At 42.6% G+C, this 23,296-nt stretch overlaps 1 long non-coding RNA gene across 5 annotated transcripts in view, besides 1 other annotated feature; it reads right to left on the reverse strand.

Moving 5' to 3' along the window:
• Positions 1–23,296, reverse strand: part of LOC107984545 (uncharacterized) — a 40,761-nt gene that overhangs the window by 3,168 nt on the left and 14,297 nt on the right. For 4 of the 5 annotated variants that reach the window (XR_001749267.2, XR_001749268.2, XR_001749266.2 and 1 more), the window contains one exon: positions 4,893–4,992. This is a non-coding gene — a long non-coding RNA (uncharacterized LOC107984545). Of the gene's footprint in view, positions 1–4,892; positions 4,993–5,095; positions 5,132–23,296 lie in introns of all 5 variants that reach the window. The other variant, XR_001749269.2, reaches the window with a different exon arrangement.
• Positions 346–862: an enhancer, noted in NCBI's record as "NANOG hESC enhancer chr12:95805228-95805744 (GRCh37/hg19 assembly coordinates)". NCBI's record gives its function as "activates a minimal SCP1, AML or CMV promoter by ChIP-STARR-seq in naive H9 embryonic stem cells {active_cell/tissue: H9 hESC(naive)}" and the evidence as "EXISTENCE:reporter gene assay evidence [ECO:0000049][PMID:30033119]".

A 23,296-nucleotide genomic window follows, 5' to 3' on the forward strand; every position in this document is an offset into this window, starting at 1 on the left:
CTCATGAAAATGTATCCCACTGTCAAAAATGAGGTGAGCGGGCAGAATTTTTGAACAATGTGACAAAAGCAAAGCACTTATAGATTGCCACTCTTCCCCACCCCAGAACACACGCATGCCACTCCATTGAAAAGCACCAAAGGCTGGCAGAATGTCAGCCTAACAACACATATTTACAAGCCCAAGCCTAATGACCACTTTCCAAGCCTACACCACAGCCCTTTCATTCAGTGCCTATACGGGATTCTATTTTTCTGACTTTCTACAAATGGACCTTTTGGATTATTCTTAAAAGAAAGCTAAGTACTCTAAAGTATGAGTACCTATAATCATTGGGAGAAAAAAGGCACACTTCCCCTCCCTACTAACAAGGCCAAAAATTCAGATACAAAAGCCCTTGTGCAAAAAAAAAACCCAGGCAAAATCTCTCACATTCTATAAATGCCACATTAATCAAATACGTTGAGTAGGCAGCTGTAATTTGGGAAAGTTCCCCATTACCTTTTTAAAAGCAGTGCTTCCTTTTCTAATCCCTTTAACATGCCCTAGACAAAGAGTCTTTTAGTCATTGTGTCAAGGCCAATCAGCCTGGCGTGCCAACAAAGACGGCCTTTTCTCTGCCTTTTCTCAAGGTTGACAGTGGTAGTTGTCCTGCTTTCCTCTTGCCTGAGGGCCAGAAGTTGATCCCTGGATTCTCCAACAGGTGACAATTATCACCAAGTTTATTCATTTGTCAAAGGTACCCTAATACTTGCACAAAATGGTTTCTTGGAAGTTTCAGGCAGCTGGTCATTCCCAGGGAAAGCCATTTTCAGGTCTTACGGAACAGTCATTCTCTAACTCACAAGTTACCCAATTGTTCTAGCCCTCTAAGACAGAGGCTGGAATAAAAGGGAACTACATCTCAAAAAGGAACTATATCTCAAATCTCAAACTACATCTCAAAGCCAATCTTTATCTCAGATTGGCTCTAATCTAATAGTAAGCTAAATTCAATATGGTAGGGGCACTCGTTGAATGTAAGAGCTGAAGGATGCTTGGAGAATATCTAATCCCATTTTACAGATGAGGGAGCCAAATGCAGAAAAGGGAACAATAATTGCAACATAATAGTTAACTGCTTATCAAACATTTGCTATACTCTAGAGACTGTGCTAAGGTATTTAGCTTATGATTTCATTTAATGCTTTCAATAACCCTATGAGGCAGATTCTATTAGGATTCCCATTTTACACGAGGAAAGTAGAGCTTTGAGAAGCTAAATGTCTCAAATCCCATGATTGGCAAATGAGAGTCATGTGGACTCCAGAGCCTGGGTTCTAAACCTTTATGCTATATTGACTCTTATATCCCTGGTCGCACACCTAAAGAATAGTAGGATCAGGATTAGAAGCAAGCCCAGAATTCCCCTGCTTTGCACCGCCATGCTGCAACAGTGAATATGACTAAAATCAGAGAACTTGAGTGTCATCAATTACAGACCAGAGATCTGATTCAGCACCAGACAGAAGGTCCACATAGACCCTTCCTGGGGAATGAGCTCTGCTTTCAGAAGTACCTTGGGAACTGGTCTGGGATAGTTTCACTATGTTTGTCAGACCAGACTTCTTGTGATAAATCCACAGAGTCTATCCCAGGGTAGACTTGCCCCTGGAGTTAGAGAAGCTTCTGTCTTTTTTCCTGCCCTTAATCTCCCTGGGCCTGACTTAATAGTAAAGTTCTATAATGTTCCATGTTGAGCAAACATAGAAATTTGGTAGGGTAACTAGGCTGAAAGTTCTGATTTGCCTAAAATTGCAATTCATCCAGCAAGTATTAATTTAATCTCCATGGTATTTCTAATGCCAGTAACCTGGGGATGTTAAGATTTTGCTGCTTTTCTTACAGAAATGTTTCATCATACACATAAAATTACATGTGCTGTTTTTAAAGCTTGGAGTCTACGCATGACAGATCCCTTGGGAATGAATTCTAGCAACTTCAGCAAATCTCATTAAAAAACCACTGCCGTGAGAGTTTGTTATTATGGGTCATGTATAATGGCCTCTTACTCATCCCTGCTGCTGTGTGCCAGCTAAACTCTCCTCCTCTATCATCATCTCTGTCAAGCCATCTCTTCTTGGTTCTAAACCCACTTGTTTCAAGAAAGCTCCTCTGGGCCGGGCACAGTGCCTCATGCCTGTAATCCCAGCACTTTGGGAGGGTGAGGGGGGTGGATCACTTGAGGTCAGGAGTTCAAGACCAGCCTGGCCAACATGGTGAAACCCTGTCTCTACTAAAAATACAAAAATTAGCTGGGCATGGTGGTGCATGCCTATAATCCCAGCTACTTGGGAGACTGAGGCAGGAGAATTGCTTGAACCTGGGAGGGGGACGTCGCAGTGAGCGAAGATCATGCCACTGCACTCCAGCCTGGGTGACAGAGCGAGACTCCGTCTCAAAAAAAAAAAAAAAAAAAAGAAACAACCTCTGATGGTATTACGTTATTATTTTTAAAATACCTTTTACTTGCTTAGTGCTTTAGTGTCTACAAAACATGTTTATGTATATTGTGTTGATTTCAGCTTTATAACCCGCAGTACTAAACAGAGACATGTTATTTTCCCTAACTGACTGAAGACATTGAGGTTCAGGGAGTCCAAGTAACTTACACAAGATCCCGCACCCATTGACTAAGGAACCTGAGTGTTCTGACCTCAACTGGGGTTTTACATTCTTTCAAATAAAAAAAATGCTTCATTATTCAGAACAGTTTTAGGTTCATAGCAAAATAAAGCAGAAAACACACACACTTCCTGTACACTCCCTGCAAGTTTGGTTTTCTTTCCATTAAAATATGCTACCTACTCCTAAAGGGCTAGGATTACAGGTGTGAGCCACTGTGCCCAGCCAGAAATTTCTTAAAAGATCAAGAAATACAAAGTTAAATCTCTCTAATTATTAAAGAAATAGACACTTAAAAGAGTATTTTTTGCCTACCAATTTTGCAAAGTTGAACAAGCATGTTAATTCTGTTCAGTGCTAAGGATGCTGTGATGGAGCTGCACGCGGTGGCTCATGCCTGTCATCTCAGTATTTTGGGAGGCTGAAGCAGGAGGATGGCCTAAGGCCAGGAGTTCGAGACCAGCGTGGGCAACAGAGCAAGACTGCATTTCTTAAAAAAAAAAAAAAAAAAAAAGAATGCTGCAATGGGATCTCTCATACTTTGCTATGAAAAGTTAGCTGGCATTTTTGTTTGAAAAGCGATTTTGTGGTACATCTCTAGAGCCTTAAAAATGTTCATATCCTTTAACAAAATTTCACTTTGAGAAATCTAGCTTTAGGAAGGACCCAAAGAAACAAAAAAAATGTAGGATAGTTGTACAAACATAAATGTTCAATAATAGGAGAATGGTTCAAAAAAATCATAGACCATCCATGCAATGGAATTCAAAGCAGCCATTCAAAATCTTTTTTCTGAAGAACTTAATATCACAGGAAAATGCTAATGATCAAGTGAAAGAATAAAAAAGCAGGACAAAAATGTTATTCAAAAAATAAGTATATTATATATATATATATATACACACACACACACAAATACATAGTATATATTCACTATATGTATGCGTGGGGTGTGTGTGTATGTATATTGGAGAAAAGTTTGGAAGAAAATATGCCAAAATGTTGAAACGGTATTCTCTTGGTGATAATATTGTGTGATTTTAATTTCTTTCTGACACCTTTCTAAATTTTTGAAAAATTTAAATACCAAGCATCTTTATGTTTAAAATACACCCTGAAAAGCGATAAGTGGTTTTTTTCACACCAGATGCTAGGTGAAGAACTGGAGTAGAAACAATTCATGGTGAAAAATGGGCCGGGCAAAGTGGCTCACACCTGTAATCCCAACACCCTGGGAGGCCAAGGCAGGAAGATCACTTGAGCCCAGGAGTTTGTGACCAGCCTGGGCAACATAGCAAGACCCTATCTCTATAAAAAATTTTAAAATTAACTGGGTGTAATGGCACACACCTGTAGTCCCAGCTACCCAGGAGGCTGAGGCAGGAGGATCACTAGAGCCCAGTAGTTTTAGATGACAGTAAGCCATGCTGTGCCACTGCACTCCAGCCTGGGGGACAGAGCAGGACTCTGTTTCTAAAAATAATAACATAAATAAAAAAGAAAAATAAATAAATGGACTTAGGAGTCACATAAAGCTGGGTTTTACCTCTGGCTCTGCCTTTTTCTAGCTGTATCACTGTGAACAAATGGCCACACTTTATGGTACATCGGTACCATCTGTAAAGTGGGGTCATCATACCTGTCTCATGGGGTTTTTGTGAGGAGTATACATGACCTATTTAAAGCATCAGGTCTGCTGTCTAGCACAGACTAGATATTTTGTCAGTGGTTTCTATTGTTACCTCCTGATTATTTGATTTGTCCTCTGTTGATTGTTAGCTTGCTGAAATGCTTAGTTTCCCATTCTAGGAGATAAGTTCCTTGAATATAGGGACTGGATTTATGTTTTCTTAGAACGGTGCTTTGCCTACAACTGACTTTTCTTTCCCTGGCTTCCTCTTTTCTTCCTTCCCTCCTCCCCACTACTTTCCTTTTTTGTTTGTTTTTACTCCCCACTATTTTCACATATAATCCTGTACCAGTCACCTAACAAGGCTGATGCACTGATAAGTTCATGTGCCATATAGTGAATTTCCCATAAGTTACCAGGAAGAGAGGAGTTTGTGTGTGCAGCTGTGTATATATGTTTTCATATTACAGATACAATAGGCAGGTATCGTGATAAGGTGACTTGTCTGGGGGGCCACATGCTCTGCGTTTCTTCTTGCCCATCAAACCATATGCTTTATAAAAGTCTATGATTATAAAGACTATGGAGGGCTTCCTACATTTGAATTATGGCTACTTGTAGTCTCTTCACAGCTATACTGGGGACTGTCTTCCACTTCAGAATTTCCCATTTTGAGTAAGGATGTTGAAAGATCCAACCTTAAAAAAGAAGACACACATATTAAATACAAAAAGAATATAAATAAATAAACAAACAAAGAGAAAAGGGATATTTCAAAATTTATACCAGTTCAGTACTCACTGTGTAAATCCTGCCCAGCCATCAGTCTACCAAAGCCTATGTGTAAAAGGAACCAAAATCCATTTGTGTCAAAGTATGCAAATCATCAGCCTAAGAATAACCTCTCCTCAAGGGGATTTGCACTGAAATGGGATCGAAGCTTTAACCTTAAGTAATTAAGTCTCTATGATGGTGGGCTGAGCCCAGTGGCTCACGCCTGTAATCCCAGCACTTCAAGAGGCCAAGGTGGCAGATTGCTTGAGCCCAGGAGTTCGAGACCAGCCTGGGCAACATAGTGAGATCCCATCTCTTAAAAAAAAAAAAAACTTTATGATGGCGTCTCAAGTATTTGAGGCCTTTCAAGAATCCCTACGTACTGTGTGGACCTACAGATAAGGCTCTTTAGCTTCTCCCAGTTTCAGACAGATTCCCATCTACCAGAGAAAACACATTCTCAGCAGTCAATAGACTTGAGTTCTGTTTTTGACTCTCCCATTAACCAGCCTGAGTACTTAGCATCTGTGAGGCCGGGCACAGTGGCTCATGCCTGTAATCCCAGCACTTTGGGAGGCCGAGGCAGGAGGATCACTTGAGGTCAGGAGTTTGAGACCAGCCTGGCCAACATGATGAAACCCTGTCTCTACAAAAATACAAAAATTAGCCAGGCGTGGTGGCACACATCTGTAGCCCCAGCTACTCAGGAGGCTGTGGTGGGAGGATCACACCTGGGAGGCGGCGACTGTAGTGAGCCAAGATCATGCCACTGCACTCCAGCCTGGCGACACAGCATATCTCCATCTCAAAAAGAAAAAATGTGTATTATTTGCTCTGGAAATGAATCTGCCTTCTAAACTAAAAACTTGGCTGCATAATTTCTTGATTTATTAAAAGACTGTTTGTTTATGCTTTTGTTCTAAGAACTGCCCTTCCACATGAGGCTACTCATAAAGGATTCATGTTTTATTTTTGTTCCTTCTTTTAGCAATTGAGTAACAGTAAAAGCACACACACACACCCACATAAAGGCTTCCAGGATACAATGCCCCTCTGTGTCATTATTAAGTTTTGTGCTAAACTATAAATCTAAAGCAAGAAACTATATTAAATCTATGAAGTAGAATGAATTCATCCTATGGAGAAAAAAATATTTTATAAGCTGTATAAAAGAAAAAAAAGACACATTTGAAGAGAAAGCAAAACTCATGAGAGCCTTTTAAAGTTTAGAAATGAATTAGGAGGTCCATAAGTCCAGATTCCCATAACAAATAGGTTGCATCAAAAGAAATAATACAAGAAAATTATACGCATGCTATCATTTAATTCTCCCAACAACATTCTACCCTTAGTCATCCTCACTTTACAGATGTTGAAATCAAGATTTAGATTTCCCCACATTCACAGAACTGGTTGGCAGTAGAGCTGAGATTCGAAAACTTTTAGAGTCTTTCTAGCTCCAATAATGTGGTTCTACCCACCATGCCCTCTATACTGGCTGTTATAAAAGTTAAAAATATACCCAGAGACAATATTCAGTGCTTCCTTAGCCCCCTGGTGCTCATAACTATCAAGTTCATCATTGCCATGAAGAAAGTGATTAGTTGGCCGGGCACAGTGGCTCATGCCTATAATCCCAGCACTCTGGGAGGCCGAGTCAGGTAGATTACTTGAGGTCAGGAGTTTGAGACCAGCCAGGCCAACATGGTGAAAACCCGTCTTTACAAAAATACAAAAATTAGCAGGGCATGGTGGTGTGTGCTGTAATCCCAGCTACTTGGGAGGCTGAAGCAGGAGAATTGCTTGAACCCGGAAGGTGGAGGTTGCAGTGAGCCGAGATGGCGCCTGTGCATTACAACCTGGGCAACAGAGCGAGACTGTCCCAAAAAAACAAACAGAAAAAAAGAGAGACAGAGAGAGAGAAGAAAGAGAGCATGGATCTATAAAAGGAAAACACTAAATTAGAAATGTAAGAAAGCACCAACCAACCAATAAAACAAACAAACAAAAACATGTAAATTTCCTATTCCTGGGACTTCCTATGCACTGCTGAGCCTATCTGTTTTTAGTCACTGATAGAATGCCAAGAAGCCAGGTCCTGAGAGATCATGAGGACAAAAATAAACTCCTCTCCCAACTCACAGTCACATTATTGTTGCAGGGGCAGAGTTGGCCACAGAAAACTCAACAGGCTGGGTAAGACTATTCCTCCAGGAAGGCTGTTTTTCTCTTTCTTTCCCTCGCTCCCCTTTTACAGAAACCTAAACCATCGCCAGCTGTTGTAATCACACACACTGGATAAAGGGAAGCAAAAAGAATGGAATATATTTAGCCTAGGGTTTGGAGTCTAAAAGCCCATGTTCCATTCAAACTCTGCAAGAATCACTAAGGTTCTTGGTTTAAGCAACAGCCACCACCCCCCTTTTTTTTTTTTGAGACGGAGTTTCGCTCTTGTTGCCCAGGCTGGAGTGCAATGGCACGATCTCGGCTCACTGCAACCTCCGCCTCCCTGGTTCAAGCGATTCTCCTGCCTCAGCCTCCCGAGTAGCTGGGATTACAGGCATGTGCCACCACACCCGGCTAATTTTGTATTTTTAGTAGAGAAGGGGTTTCTCCATGTTGGTCAGGCTGGAACAGCCACCCCCTTATATGCTCGCTACAGATTCCAAAACACCTCCAGAGCCTGGAGTTTTAGAGATTATGAATTCTGTCTCTTGGCTTAAAAAGTTTTTATTTTTATTTATTTATTTATTTTGAGACAGAGTCTCGCTCTGTCGCCCAGGCTGGAGTGCAGTGGCGCGATCTCGGCTCACTACAAGCTCCGCCTCCCGGGTTCAGGCCATTCTCCTGCCTCAGCCTCCTGAGTAGCTGGGACTGCAGGCACCCGCCACCACACCCGGCTAATTTTTGTATTTTTGGTAGAGACAAGGTTTCACCATGTTAGCCAGGATGGAAAAAGTTTTTATTATAAATGCTGTCTATTTGAATTGGAATACCACAGTTTATTTTGTTTTCATAGGCTTTTATTCTTTTTCCTTTTTTTCTCATACTTTAAAACTTAGGTTATAATTCACATACTGTAAACTCACCATTTTATTTATTTATTTATTTATTTTAAGTATTACGGAGCTTCTCCACTTTTTTTTAATTAATTTTTTTTTTTAAAGAGAGACAGGGGTCTCACTATGTTGCCCAGACTGGTCTCTAACTCCTGGGCTCAAGTGATCCTCCCACCTTGGCCTCCCAAAATGCTGGGATTATATGTGTGAGCCATGGCATCCATTACTTATTTATTTTTATTGATTTATTTATAGAGACAGGGTCTCACTATGTTGCCCAGGCTGGTCTCAAACTCCTAGACTCAAGCAATCCTCCTACCTCTGTCTCCCAAAGTACTGAGATTACAGGCATGAGCCACTGTGCCTGCCTGACAGTCACCCTTTTAAAGTATTCAGTGGTTTTTTAGTACGTTCACAAAGTTGTATAACCATCACCACTATCTAATTCCAGAATATTTCTATTACCCCCCAAAAGAAACCCCATACCTATTAGCAGTAACTCCTCAATTCCCTCTCACCCCAAAGCCTAGAAACCACTAATCCACATCCTGTTTCTATGGATTTGCCTTTTTTGGAAAGTTCATAGAAATGCAATCATACGCTGGGCATGGTGGCTCATGCCTGTAATCCCAGCACTTTGGGAGGCTGGGGCAGGCGGATCACCTGAAGTCAGGAGTTCGAGACCAGCCTAGCCAACATGGTGAAACCCCTTCTCTACTAAAAATACAAAGTTAGCCGGGCATAGTGGTAGGTGCCTGTAGTCCCAGTTACTTGGGAGGCTGAGGCAAGAGAATCGCTTGAACCTGGGAGGTGGAGGTTGCAGTGAGCTGAGATCGCGCCACTGCACTCCAGCCTGGGAGACGGAGCGGGACTCCGTCTCAAAAAAAAAAAAAAAAAAGAAAAGAAAAAAGAAATGCAATCATACAATATGTGTCCTTTTGTGACTTGCCTTTTCCACTTAGCATAATGTTTTCAATGTTCATCTATGTTGTATCATATATCAGTATTTCATTCATTCCTTTTCTTTTTTTGAGAAAGGGTCTCACTCTGTGGCCAATGCTGGAGTGCAGTTGCATGATCATGGCTCACTGTAGCCTTAAACTCCTGGGCTCAATTGATCCTCCCACCTCAGCCTTCTGAGTATCTGCAACTACAGGCAATGCCACCACACCTGGCTTTTTTTTTTTTTTTTTTGTAGAGACAGGGTCTTACTGTGTTTCCCAGGTTAGTCCTGAATTCCTGGTCTCAAGCAATCTTCCCATCTTGGTCTCCCAAAGTGCTGAAATTATAGGCATGAGCCACTGTGCCTGGCCTCATTCATTCCCTTTTATGAGCGAATAATATTCTATTGCATGGATATACCACATTTTATTTATCCATTTTTCAACTGACAGGCATTTTGGTTATTTACACATTTTGGTTACCATGAATGATGCTGTTATAAACATTTGTTTATAAGATTTCATGTGGCCGGATACAGTAGCTCATGCCTGTAATCCTAGCACTTAGGGAGGCCAAGGCTGGCGGATCACCTGAGGCCAGGAGTTCAAGACCAGCCTGACCAACATGGAGAAACTCTGTCTCTACTAAAAATACAAAATTAGCCGGGCGTTGTAGCGCATACCCGTTAATCCCAGGTACTTGGGAGGCTGAGGCAGGAGAACTGCTAGAACCCGGGAGGCAGAGGTTGCAGTGAGCCGAGATCGAGCCATTGCACTCCAGCCTGGGCAACAAGAGCGAAACTCTATCTCAAAAAAAAAAAAAAAAAGATTTTATCTGGACATGTTTTTAATTTTCTTGCATATGAACCTGGAAGCAGAATTGCTAGGTCATGTGCTCTCTGTTTAATTTTCTGAGGAACTGCCAAACTGTTTTCCAAAACAGCTGTACTATTTTACATTCCTATCAGCAATGTATGAGGGCCCCAATTTCTCCATATCTTGTCTAACACTTATTATTGCCTATCTTTCCAATTATAGCCATTCTAGTAAATGTGTCTTAATTTTTAAGCTTAATTTATCTACTAGTTATTTGATGGTGGACCTGTTTTACAAATATGTTATCTCCTAAAACTTTCTGTGATAGTAAAATTGTTTTATTTTTTATTTTTTTATTTTTTGAGACAGAGTCTCTCTCTGTCATCGAGGCTGGAGTGCAGTGGCACAATTATAGCTCACTGTAGCCTCAATCTCCTGGACTCAACTGATCCTCTTGCCTCAGCCTCCTGAGTAGCTGGGACTACAGGTGCACACCACCATGCCCAGCTAATTTTTGTATTTTTTGTAGAGATGGAGTTTTACCACATTGCCCAGGCTTGTTTCAAACTCCTGACCTCAAGCCATCTGCCTGCCTCAACCTCCCAGAGTGCTGGGATTACAGACGTGAGCCACCATGCCTGGCCAGCTTGTTCTTTAAAGTAAAAAACTTATTGCTGAAATTATCTTGTAAAAGCAAATGTAATGGGCCTCATGAGCCGTCAGGTACCAATATTAATACCTATATAACCAAGGGTAACAATGAGGGTCATATGAGACAATGGGGATAATAGTAACAATAAACACATGTAATATCCACTATGTTCAGATACTTTTCCAAATGCCTTAGTGTTGACTTACTTAATATTCAGAACAACCCTGGAGGAAGCACCATTCGTAGCACCATGTTACAGACAATGACACTGGGACAAAGAAAGGCTAAGTAACATGTTCAAAATTGTATCACTAGCAAGTGCCAAGGCCAGGATTTGAGTCCAGGAATTCTAAAAGCAAAGGCTTAACCACTGATGAGGTTACTTCCGTATCTCAGAGGGGTTGTTGTAGGGAAAACTACAACTACCATTTATTATTGCTAATATTATTTTCATTATATGCAAGCAGAATGAGAATTAGGGATAAAGTTACAGAAAGAACATTATCCCGGGAGTCAGGAGACCAGGGTTGGGGTCATGGCTCTATCAGCAATCATATGACTTTGGGAAAGTTACTCGGCCCCTTGGAATCTCAGTTTTCTTCCTCAATGAAATGGAAATCCAGCCTAGGCAACATGGCAAGACCCTGTTTCTACAAAAAAATTTAAAAATTAGCCAGACATGGTGGCACATATCTCTGGTCCCAGCTCCTTGGGAGGCTGAGGTGGGAGGATCACTTGAGCCCAGGAGTTTGAGGCTGCAGTGAGCCAAGATTGTGCTACTGCACTCCAGCCTGGAATAAAAAAAAAAAGCCAGGCATAGTGGCTCACGCCTGTAATCCCAGCTACTTGGGAGGCTAAGGCACAAGAATTGGTTGAACTTGGGAGGCGAAGGTTGCAGTGAGCTGAGGTTGCACCACTGCACTCCAGCTTGGCCAACAGAGCAAGACTCTGTCTCAAAAAAGAAAAAAAGAAAAAAGAAATTCTAAATTCTATTATCATCCCACAGTGATATCAGGATGACTAAACTAGACAATAGCTAGAAAGCTCCCTGTGATCTGTGGAATACTATAAGTGAATATGATTTTATTATTGAAAATATCAGTTCTTTTAATCGTCAAGTCCTGAATATAAAGTTTCATTCTTGGGAGAAAAGCTGGGTCTCCCAGGGCTCTTCATTGCATAGTGCTAATCTCAGATGAGGTTCTTCATCCTTCTTTAATTGCACAGAGCTGCTTCACTCACTCATTTTTCCTGAAAACTATCAAGTTTTCTGAAGTTACAATCAGTAAAGATTTCAGATTACTAAGCCTTTATTTATATTCCTGGGGTTGGTATTTGCAAATGTTTCTAGCATCTGAGAATGGCATCAATTTTTGGAGAGAAAAATAGTAAACTTAATTTTAACTGTAAAAAACCTAGAGGCAGCCAGGAGCAGTGGCTCTGTCCTGTAATCCCAGCACTTTGGGAGTCCAAGGCGGTGTATCACTTGAGGTCAGGAGTTCGAGACCAACCTGGCCAACATGGTGAAGCCCCATCACTACTAAAAAAAAATACAAAAATTAGCCAGGTGTGGTGGTGGGAGCCTGTAGTCCCAGCTACTCAGGAGGCTGAGGCAGGAGAATGGCATGAACCCCGAAGGCAGAGCTTGCAGTGAGCCAAGATCGTGCCACTGCACTCCAGCCTGGGCAACAGAGCGAGAGTCTGTCTCAAAAAAAAAAAAAAAATTGGATTTATTGCCAGCATTTGAGGACTAGAAGTATGCTGCAAACATTTACATTCCAGGTTTCTCTTAAAAAATGGGTCCGGGCGTAGTGGCTCATGCCTGTAATTCTAGCACTTAAGGAGGCTGAAGTGGGAGGATTGCTTGAGCCCAGGAGTTCAAGACCAGCCTGGGCAACATAGCAAGACCTCATCTCTACAAAAAAAAATTTTTTTTAATTAGCTGGGTGTGGTGGTGTGCGCCTGTAGTCTCAGCTATTGGGGAGGCTGAGGTGGGAGGATTGCTTGAGCCCAGGAGTTCTAGGTTACAGTGAACTACGATCATGCCATTGTACTCCAGCCTGGGTGACAGAGCAATACCTTGTCTCAAAAAAATTTTTAAAGAAGGTTTTTTTTTAAAAAAGTATGGGCTGCACCTGTAATCCCAGCACTTTGGGGGGCCGAGATGGGTGGATCACTAGGTCAAGAGATCGAGATAATCCTGGCCAACATGGTGAAACCTCGTCTCTACTAAAAATAAAAAAATTAGCTGGGCGTGGCAGCGCGGGCCTGTAGTCCCAGCTACTTGAGAGGCTGAGACAGGAGAATCGCTTGAACCCAGGAGGCAGAGGTTGCAGTGAGTGGAGATCATGCCACTCCACTCCAGCCTGGGTGACAGAGTGAGACTCTGTCTCAAAAAAAAAAAAAAAAAAAAGGATGGGCTGCATTGCTGTAGAAATATCATTTAAGTTGGTTCCTCCTGTCGTTATGTTAAGGCTGTGACAGGGCAGTGGTATTAACACATCTAGAGAGATAAAGAGCTATGCTGTATCTATACTAGTACTTCACACTAGTATTTATACGAATGTGAAATTTCTATAAAAGGGAACAGACTCCATGGCCACTGCTATCCTGAGAGTTCCAGTCAAGGGATTGTTTTGGCGCTCCTTGTGCCAAAGCGGTTCACTTTTGATATGGCCCACTGAATTCTGAATGTTTAACTCTGCTACCAAAGTGATTGCAATGAAGATCTGGCCTACTCCGGGAGATAGAATGTGCTGCTGACCCAAGAGTATGTAAGTACTGTGCCTCCCTAGAGACTTTTTTCAAAACAATCAGAAATTAATTCATGACTTGGCACCCACAGGCCTTCCCAGTCTCACAAATATTTTGCTTGGCTCGAGTCCATATCTCAGGTCCTGATTACCTTAGTCTTTGATAAGAGCCATCTCTGGGCCCTTAGAAGCACAGGGTCTGAATCTGGAATGCAGAGGCTAAAGGAAGGTGAGACTCCAGCTGACCCTCCCTTAGCTATGTGACCAGCAATCTCCTTCTACAAGTTTCTTCAGTTCCTTCCTCCATAACCTTTTAGGACCTTTTTTTTTTTTTTTGAGACAGAGTCTCACTCTTGTGGCCCAGGCTGGAGTGCAGTGGCATGATCTCGGCTCACTGCAACCTCCGCCTCCCGAGTTCAAGTGACTCTCATGCCTCGGCCTCCCAGGTAGCTGGAATTACAGGCACCTGCCACCACACCCAGCTAATTTTTGTACTTCTGGTAGAGATGGGGTTTCACCATGTTGGCCAGGCTGTTTGCTCCCTCTTTTTTAAAACTCTTTTTAAAAAAAAAAAATTGTGATCAAATATACACAACAGTAAGTTTACCATGTTAACCATTTTAAAATACACATTTCTATAGCATTAAGTCCATCCATATTGTTGAACAACCATCACTGCCATCCACCCCCAGACCATTTTCATCTTGTGAAATGTAAACTCTGCACCCATTAAATACTAACTCTCCATTCCCCGTTTCCTCCAGCCTCTCTGACAGTCGCCATTCTACTTCCTGTCTCTATGAATTTAACTAATCTATGGACTTCATATAAGAGGAATCATATGATATTTGTCCATTTGCGACTGGCTTATTTTGCTTAGCATAATGTCTTCAAGGTTCACCCATGTTGTAGCATGCTGTAAAATTTCCTTCCTTTTTAAAAGTGAGTAATCATCCATTGTATGGATATACCACATTTTGTTTATCTATTCAACTGTCAATGGACCCTGGGTTGCTTCCACCTTTTGGCTACTGTGAATAAGCTGCTGTGAACATGGGTGTACAACATCTGTTTTGAGTCTTTGCTTTCACTTCTTTGAGTTTATACCTAGAAGTGAAATTGATAGATCATATGGTAATTCTATGTTTAATTTTTTTTTTTCTTTTTGAGATGGAGTCTCACTCTGTCGCCCAGGCTTGAGTGCAGTGGCACGATCTTGGCTCACTGGAACCTCTGCTTCCCGGGTTCAAGCAATTCTCTTGCCTCAGCCTCCCGAGTAGCTGGGATTGTGGATGTCCGCCACCACACCTGGCTAATTTTTGTATTTTTAATTTTTAGTAGAGACAGAGTTTTGCCATGTTGACCAGGCTGGTCTCAAACTCCTGACCTCAAGTGATGCCCGCCTTGGCCTCCCAAAGTGCTGGCATTACAGGCGTGAGCCACTGTGCCCGGCCTCAATGTTGAATTTTTTGAGGGTCTGTCATATCATTTTCCACACCATCTGCACCATTTTAAATTCCCACCAGCAATGCTCAAGCGTTCCAACTTCCCCACATCCTCACCAATACTTCTTGTTTTGTTTTGTTTTAAAATAATAGCCATCCTAACGAGTGTGAAGTGGTATACGAGAAAACTCTGAAAGTTGATTTCCTTCTCTATTCAACCCAGTCTACTTTTCTACCACTTCACAGATAAACCTCTTTTAAGGTCACTGGAGTCTTTTATAACGCATCATCCAAAGGTCACTATTCAGCCCCCAACTCATAATACAATCCCCATATAGCATTTGACACAATCGAAATTCTTTCCTCACTTGGTTTCCGGGACACCACTTTCTCTTGGTTTTCTTCCCTCACTGGTTATTCCTTCTCCAGCTCTTCACTGGTTTCACCCATGGGTCGACTTCTCCCCGTCAGGCCTCTTTTGTTTTCTTCTCTACCTATACTCCCTGGATGATCTTCTCCAATTCAGTGGTTTTTTTTTTTTTTTTTTTGAGATGGAGTCTCACTCTGTCAACCAGGTTTGAGTGCAGTGGCGTGATCTTGGCTCACTGCAACCTTCACCTCCCAGGTTCAAGCGATTTTCCTGCCTCAGCCTCCCGAGTAGCTGGGATTACAGATGTGCACCACCACGCCTGGGTAATTTTTGTAGTTTTAGTAGAGACAGGGTTTCACCATGTTGGTCAGACTGATCTTGGAGTCCTGGCCTCAAGCCATCCACCCGCCTCGGCCTCCCAAAGTGCTGGGATTATGGGCATGAATCACTGCGCCCAGCCAATTCACTGGCTTTAAAAACCATCTGACAACTCACAAATGTGTATTTCCAGCTTTGACATCTCATCTGCACTCCAGACTTAAATATCTTACTTCCTATATAATGTATCTTATAGGTATCTCATATTTAAATAATCCAACATGTTCAAAACTGAACTCTTGGTTTTCCTCTCCAAATGAGTTTTCCTTTAGTTCTTATTTACTTCAATAAATGGAATCTCCATTCTTCCAATTGCTCAGGCCAAAAGCTCTGGAGTTTTCTTTGACTCCTCGCTTTCTCTCACACCCTGTATCCATCCCCTAGTCTAATCAGTAAACTATATCTGAAATGCAATCTCATTACCTTCTTTCACTGTTGGCTGACCTACCATCATCCCTCAAGGATCATTACTATAGATAACCTCATACCTGGTCTTTTTTCTGACCATTTCTCCACTCTTTAAAATGGAATCTCAACACAGGAGCCAGGTCTTTACTCAGATTAAGTCATGCCCCTCTTTGCTCAGACTCTAATCCCACTCAGTGTAAAAGCTTGTAATCCCAGCATTTTGGGAGGCTAAGGTGGGTGGATCACTTGAGGTCGGGAGTTCAAGACCAGCCCGGCCATCATGGTGAAACCTCATCTCCACTAAAAATACAAAAATGAGCCAGGCATGGTGGCATGTGCCTGTAATCCCAGCTACTCAGGAGGCTGAGGCAGGAGAATCGCTTGAACCTGGGAGGTGGAAGTTGCAGTGAGCCGAGATTGTGTCACTGCACTGCAGCCTGGGTGACAGAGTGAGACTCTGTCTCAAACAACAACAACAAAAAAAAAAAAAAAAAAAAAACTTGTATAACAGTGGCCTCCGAGGTCTTTCATAATCTGACCCTTTCCCCTTCCTCTGATTTTTATTATATATCCTACTATCCTCTCTCAATACATTATGCTTCAGTCACACTGGCCCCCTTGCTGTCCTCAAACATACCAAGGATATGTCCTTCCTACACATCCCATAGGCCCTCATATCCACCAAGTTTCATTCAAATATTACTGTAGAATAAGGCCATTTGAACACTGTATATAAAAAAGCATCAGTCCCATTTCCTTAATCCTGCTTTATTGCACTCCACATACCACTATTTGTTGTCCTATATTTACTTTTTTATTTGTTTCCCTCTACTCCACTGAAGTCTCCACGAAGCAGAGACTTTATCTTGTTCACTGCTGTTTCTCTAGTACATATTTGCTCAACAAGTAGTAGAATAATCTTACATTTTCAAGTGTTGGCAGAAAAAAAAAAGTATTACAAAGAATGAATCATTTAGGACCAGATAGCTGAATTGAGTGAGTTCAAGCCTTGCTCTGATACAATTCTCCTTCAAGACAAGAGCCATGAGTTGGATACAGAACATTTATATCCCAAGCATATATTTTACTGAACAGCATCAATGGTGTCTCCAAGCCTCTAGATAGTTGACACAATAAAATCTAGGAAGGTGCCGGGCACGGTAGCTCACACCTGTAATCCCAGCACTTTGGGAGGTCAAGGCGGGAAGATCGCTTGAGGTCAGGAGTTCGAGACCAGCCTGGCCAACGTGGCAAAACCCTGTCTCTACAAAAAACACAAAAATTAGCCAGGCATGGTGGCAGGCACCTGTAATCCCAGCTACTCAGTAGGCTGAGGCAAGAGAATTGCTTGAACCCAGGAGGCAGAGGTTGCAGTGAGCTGAGATAGCACCACTGCACTCCAGCCTGGGTGACAGAGTGACTCTGTCTCAATAAATAAATGAATAAATAAAATCTAGGAAGGTAATCATCTTAGTTCATTTTGTGTTGCTATAAAGGAATACCAGAGGCTGGGTAATTTATAGAGAATAAAGGTTTATTTGCTCATAATTCTGATGGCTGGAAAGTTTACAATTGGGCACTTTCATCTGGTGAGAACCTAAGGCTGCTTCCTCTCCTGGCAGAAGGCAAAGGGAAGCCTGTGTACGCAGAGATCACATGATGAGAGAGGAAGCGAGAGAGAGAGTGGGGAGGTGTCAGGCTGTTTTTAACAGCCAGCTCTCCTAGGAACTAATCGGGTGAGAACACACTCATCCCGGAGGGAGGGCATTAGTCTATTCATGAAGGATCTGCACCCATAACCCAAACACCTCCCATTAGGTCCCATCTCTGACACTGGAGATCAAATTTTAACATGAAGTTTGGAGGGGACAAACATCTAAACTATAGCGGTCATCAAGATAGCATGGTGGGGGCACTGCACTACATGGATTACAAAGAGAGGACAACAGAGTCCTTCTCTCTTTTATTTATTTATTTATTTATTTATTTTTGAGATAGAGTCTAGCTCTGTCACCCAGGCTGGAGTGCAGTGGCGCAATCTTAGCTCACTGCAATCTCCGCCTCCCAGGCTCAAGCGATTCTCCTGCCTCAGCCACCCGAGTAGCTGGGACTACAGGCATGTGCCAGCTCGCCCAGCTAATTTTTGTATTTTTAGTAGAAATGAGGTTTCACCGTATTGGCCAGGCTGGTCTCAAACTCCTGACTTCAAGTGATCTGCCTACCTCGGCCTCCCAAAGTGCTGAGATTACAGGCATGTGCCACCGCGCCCGGCCAGTCCTTCTCTATCTGGAGCTTAAAATTCATAATCTGACGACTGTCATCATTCATTCATTCAACAAATGTCTATTGCACAAGGAACCAAAACAGATTTCACTGCACTGCCCGAGGCATGAACAAGAGAACTTTAAATGAACTCTCCTCTGAAATGTTCTCCAAACCAGTTGTTCAAAGAATTCTAAGTAAGGCAGCTGCCCCCGTCGTCACTATTTCAGTGTTTTCTTTCACAAGCCAATGTGGTGAAACATATAGAAATTTGATGGAGTTTCACCTGAATAGAATTTTTATAAAATGGCGCACACCACTAAAGAGCTACTTGTCTTTTTCTTCTAAATGATGGCTCCATTAGCATATTTTGAAAAATAACACTGGTTTTCCAATAAGTGTTTAATGTGAAATAAAAGAGAAAATTTTTAAAGAACAAAAAGTATTTGAGTTAGCATAAGAAGTCTAAATGACAGCTGGGTGCAGTGGCATGTGCCTGTAGTCCCAGCTATTCAGGTGGCTGAGGTAGGAGGACTGCTTGAGCCCCAGAGTTTGAATTCAGCCTGGGGAACATAGCAAGACCCCATCTCTAAACTAAAAAAAGGAATTCTAAATGTAAATCTCAAATCTTTGACAATTGGGCATTGGTTATATATTCATGTTGACATTTAAAAGACAGAAAGGCCATTTAAGAAATATTTATTTATTTGTACTTATTTATTATTATTTTTTTTAGAGACAGGCTCTCGCTCTGCTGCCCAGGCTGGAGTGCAGTGGTGCAATCATAGCTCACTGTAACCTCAGACTCCGGGGCTCAAGTGATCCTTCCATCTCAGCCTCCAGACTAGTTGGACTACAGGTGCATGCCACCACACCTGGCTAAGTTTTAAAATTTTTTATAGAGATGAAAAATTTATAGAGATGAAAAATTCATAGAGATGAAAAATTCTTGCTCTTTTTTTTTTTTTTTTTGAGACTGGGGCCTAGGTCTGTTGTGCAGGCTGGTGTTCAGTGGCATGATCATGGCTCATTGCAACCTCTGCCTCCTGGGTTCAAGTGATTCTCGTGCCTCAGCCACACCAGTAGCTAGGATTACAAGCTAATTTTTGTATTTTTAGTAGAGACGAGGTTTCACCATGTTGGCCAGGCTGGTCTCGGACTCCTGGCCACATGCCACATGTGATCCACCCACCTCGGCCTCCCAAAGTGCTGGGATTACAGGCATGAGCCACTGCACCCAGCCTGTATATCTCTTTATAGGTTTGAAAGTTGCCCTCATGAATATCATTTCACCAAACCCTAATGCTAATGCCATGTGGCATTTATTGTGTTATCTCCATTTTATGGTATATTCTTTGTAACATTCTGAAAATATGCATGTATAACTATTATTACTCAGATACAATGATAAAGGCTGTGCTTTTTACAATAGTAATAGTAACAGATACTATTTATTAATTGCCTCTGTCTTGTTTTCTTTTTGTTGTTTGTTTGTTGAGACACGGTCTCACTGTCATCCAGGCTGGAGTGCAGTGGTGTGATCTCAGATCACTGCAGCCTCGACCTCCTGGGCTCAAGTGATCCTCCCAAATAGCTGGGACCACAGGCGGGCACCATCATGCCTGGCTAATTTTTTTTATTTTTAATTCTTATTTTTGGTAGAGACAAGGTCTCACTATGTTGCCCAGGCTGGTCTTGAACTCCTGGGCTCAAGCAATCCTTCCTCTTTGGCTTACCAAAGTGCTAGAATTACAGGCATGAGCCACTGTGTCTGGCCAATTACCTTACTTTTATCATATGTAAAATGGGGCCGATAAGTATACCTCCTTCAGAGGGTTTTAAGGTTAAGAAATTTAATGTGCACTTTTAAAAATAATATTTATATGCCGGCTAATTTTTCAGATAGGGTGCTCAAATAATGGACTGTCCAGTTCAAAACCAGACTTAACAATCTTAACAAGAGATAATCACCAATGAAGGACTTGAAGAAGAATGAAGACTGGCCCAGTCTTAAAGTAGCTCACTTCTCTAGGCTTAGCACATATAGAGGAATGATTCATTCATTCCACGAATATTCATCAGGCACAGTTCTAGCTTTTGTGGAGACAGAGTGAAGAGGGTAGATCTCTGCCTACATGGACCAGTTAGGGAAAGACAGGAAGAAAAGCATGGAGGGAGAGAGAGGGAGAAGAAAAGAAAGGAAAATAAAAAATTACAGATAGCGATAACTGCAATGATGAAAATAAAACAGGCCACCGTAACAGTGATGGGGGTATGAATGTCGGGCTTCTTTGGACTGGGAGTCAGGGACACCCTCTTTGAGGAGGCCACATTTGAGCTGAGACCCAAATGATGATGATGAGGAGAAGCCAACCATAAAATAGTGGAAAACATCCAAAGCAGAGTGCACAGCAAATGTAAAGAACGTGAAGCAGCCTGGGCACGGTGGCTCACACCTACAATCCCAGCACTTTGGGAGGCTGAGGCTGGAGGATCACTTAAGCCCAGGAGTTCGAGACCAACTTGGGCAACATAGTGAGACCCTGTCTCTATTATAAAAAAAAAAAAAAAGAAGAAGGAGGAGGAGGAGGAGAAGGAGAAGGACAAAGACGGAGAAGGAGAAGGAGAAGGAGAAGGAGAAGGAGAAGGAGAAGGAGAAGGAGAAGGAGAAGAAGAAGTAGAAGAAGAAGAAGAAGAAGAAGAAGAAGAAGAAGAAGAAGAAGAAGAAGAAGAAGAAGAAGAAGAAGAAAAGAATCTGAGGCAGCAATGAGCTTGGTTGGTTAAAAAAACAAAACAAAACAAAAAAAACAGAGAGGCCAGAACAGCTGGGGAGCAGGGAGTGGAAGGGAAAACTGCCTGTGAGGAAGTCAGAAGGCAGGCACGGAGAGGAAATCTCAGAAGGGCTTGCAGATCAAGGTAAGAAGTGTGGATTTGGCAGGGTGCGGTGGCTTACGCCTGTAATCCCAGCACATTGGGAGGCCGAGGCGGGCGGATCACAAGGTCAGGAGATCAAGACCATCCTGGCGAACATGGTGAAACCCTGTCTCTACTAAAAATACAAAAAATTAGCCAGGCGCGGTGGCGGGCGCCTGTAGTCCCAGCTACTGGAGAGGCTGAGGCAGGAGAATGGCGTGAACCCGGGAGGCGGAGCTTGCAGTGAGCCGAGATAGCTCCACTGCACTCTGGCCTGGGCGACAGAGCGAGACTCCGTCTCCAAAAAAAAAAAAAAAAAAAAAAAAGAAGTGTGGATTTTATTCTCGGTGCAATAGCAACGGCAGGACAATAGGTGCAAGAAATGGGGTGTCTCCAAGCAGAGCGGGCAGAAGCAACGCTCAAGACCTAAGGAGGGCATCAAATGAGAAACGTGGCAGCCAGCACGCCCCTGGAGCTCTAGAATACACACAGCTGCATACTGCTCATATTATAAGCGGACCCCATTGATTGAGGGCCAATGATAAGCCAAGCAATATAAACACAAAATGATGGAGTTATGCTGAATTGTTTTTTAAAAAGAAATTGGGGGCTGGGCATGGCGGCTCATGCCTGTAATCCCAGCACTTTGGGAGGCTGAGTCCGGCAGATCACTTGAGGTCAGGAGTTCAAGACCAGCCTGGTCAACATGGTAGTACCCTGTCTCTACTAAAAATACAAAAATTAGCAAGATGTGGTGGCAAGCACCTGTAATCCCAGTTACTCGGGAGGCTGAGGCAGGAGAATCACTTGAACCCAGGAGGTGGAGGTTGTAGTGAGCTGAGATCGTGCCATTGCACTCCAGTCTGGATGACAGAGTGTGACTTGATCTCAAAACAAACAAACAAACAAACAAAAAACATGAAAAAGAAAGTGGGAAAGGAGATAGTGGACTTTTAAAACAGAAGCAGGCTGGGTGCAGTGGCTCATGCCTATAATCCTCGCACTTTGAGAGGCCGAGGCGGGTGGATCACCTGAGGTCAGGAGTTAGAGACCAGCCTGGCCAACACAGCGAAACCCTGTCTTTACTAAAAATATAAAAATTAGCCCAGCAGGGTGGCGGGCGCCTGTAATCTCAGCTACTCAGGAGGTTGAGGCAGGAGAATCACTTGAACCCAGGGGAGAGAGGTTGCAGTGAGCTGAGATCGCGCCACCTCAGTCCAGGCTGGGCGAAAGAGGGAGACTGCATCTCAAAAAAATAAATGAAAATAAAAACAGAAGCAAATTGCAGTGGTTTTCTTTTTTTTTTTAATAGTGATGGGGTCTTGCTATGTTACTCAGGCTGGTCTCAAGCCATCCTCCTGCCTCAGCTTCCCAAAGCACTGGGACTACGGGTACGAGCCACCATGCCCATCCTTGCAGTGATGTTGAGGAAAGGTATGGCAGGTTCCAAAAAACCCAAATACAGATTAGTGTAAAGCAGGGTTTGTCAATCCTGGCACTATTGACATTTTGGACCACACGATTGTGGGGTGCTATCCTGTGCATTGTAGGATGTGTAGCAGCATCCTTGGTCTCTACCTATGATGACAATAGCAACCAGCAGTTGTGACTACCAAAAATGTCTGCAGGCATTGCCAAATGTCCCTTGTGGGGCAAAATCGCCTCTGTTGGAAAATTCACTGATGCAATCAACAACATTTAATCTAATATACTTTTGTGATATATGTTCTAAGACAGGTTTGAGTATTTTAATTTTCCCTTCACAAGCAAAGAAATTCTATGAGTGGGCTGGGCGCGGTGGCTCACGCCTGTAATCCCAACACTTTGGGAGGCCGAGGCGGGAGGATCATAAGGTCAGGAGCTCGAAACCATCCTGCCTAACGCGGTGAAACCCCGTCTCTACTAAAAATACAAAAAAATTAGCCGGGAGTGGTGGCGGGTGCCTGTAGTCCCAGCTACTTGGGAGGCTGAGGCAGGAGAATGGCGTGAACCCGGGAGACGGAGCTTGCAGTGAGCTGAGATCAGGCCACTGCACTCCAGCCTGGGCGACAGAGCGAGACTTGCCTCAAAAAAAAAAAAACAAAAAAAAAAACAAACCCAAAAAGAAAAAGAAATTGTATGAGTGAGCGCAAAAGTAATTGCAGTGTTGGCAGTTGGAAATTACCATTTGACATTGGAATACATTCTTAAATAAATGTGGTTATGTTATACATCATTTTAATGGGTATTTC

This window comes from Homo sapiens, chromosome 12 (genome assembly GCF_000001405.40).
Source record: "Homo sapiens chromosome 12, GRCh38.p14 Primary Assembly".
Taxonomy (NCBI): domain Eukaryota; kingdom Metazoa; phylum Chordata; class Mammalia; order Primates; family Hominidae; genus Homo; species Homo sapiens.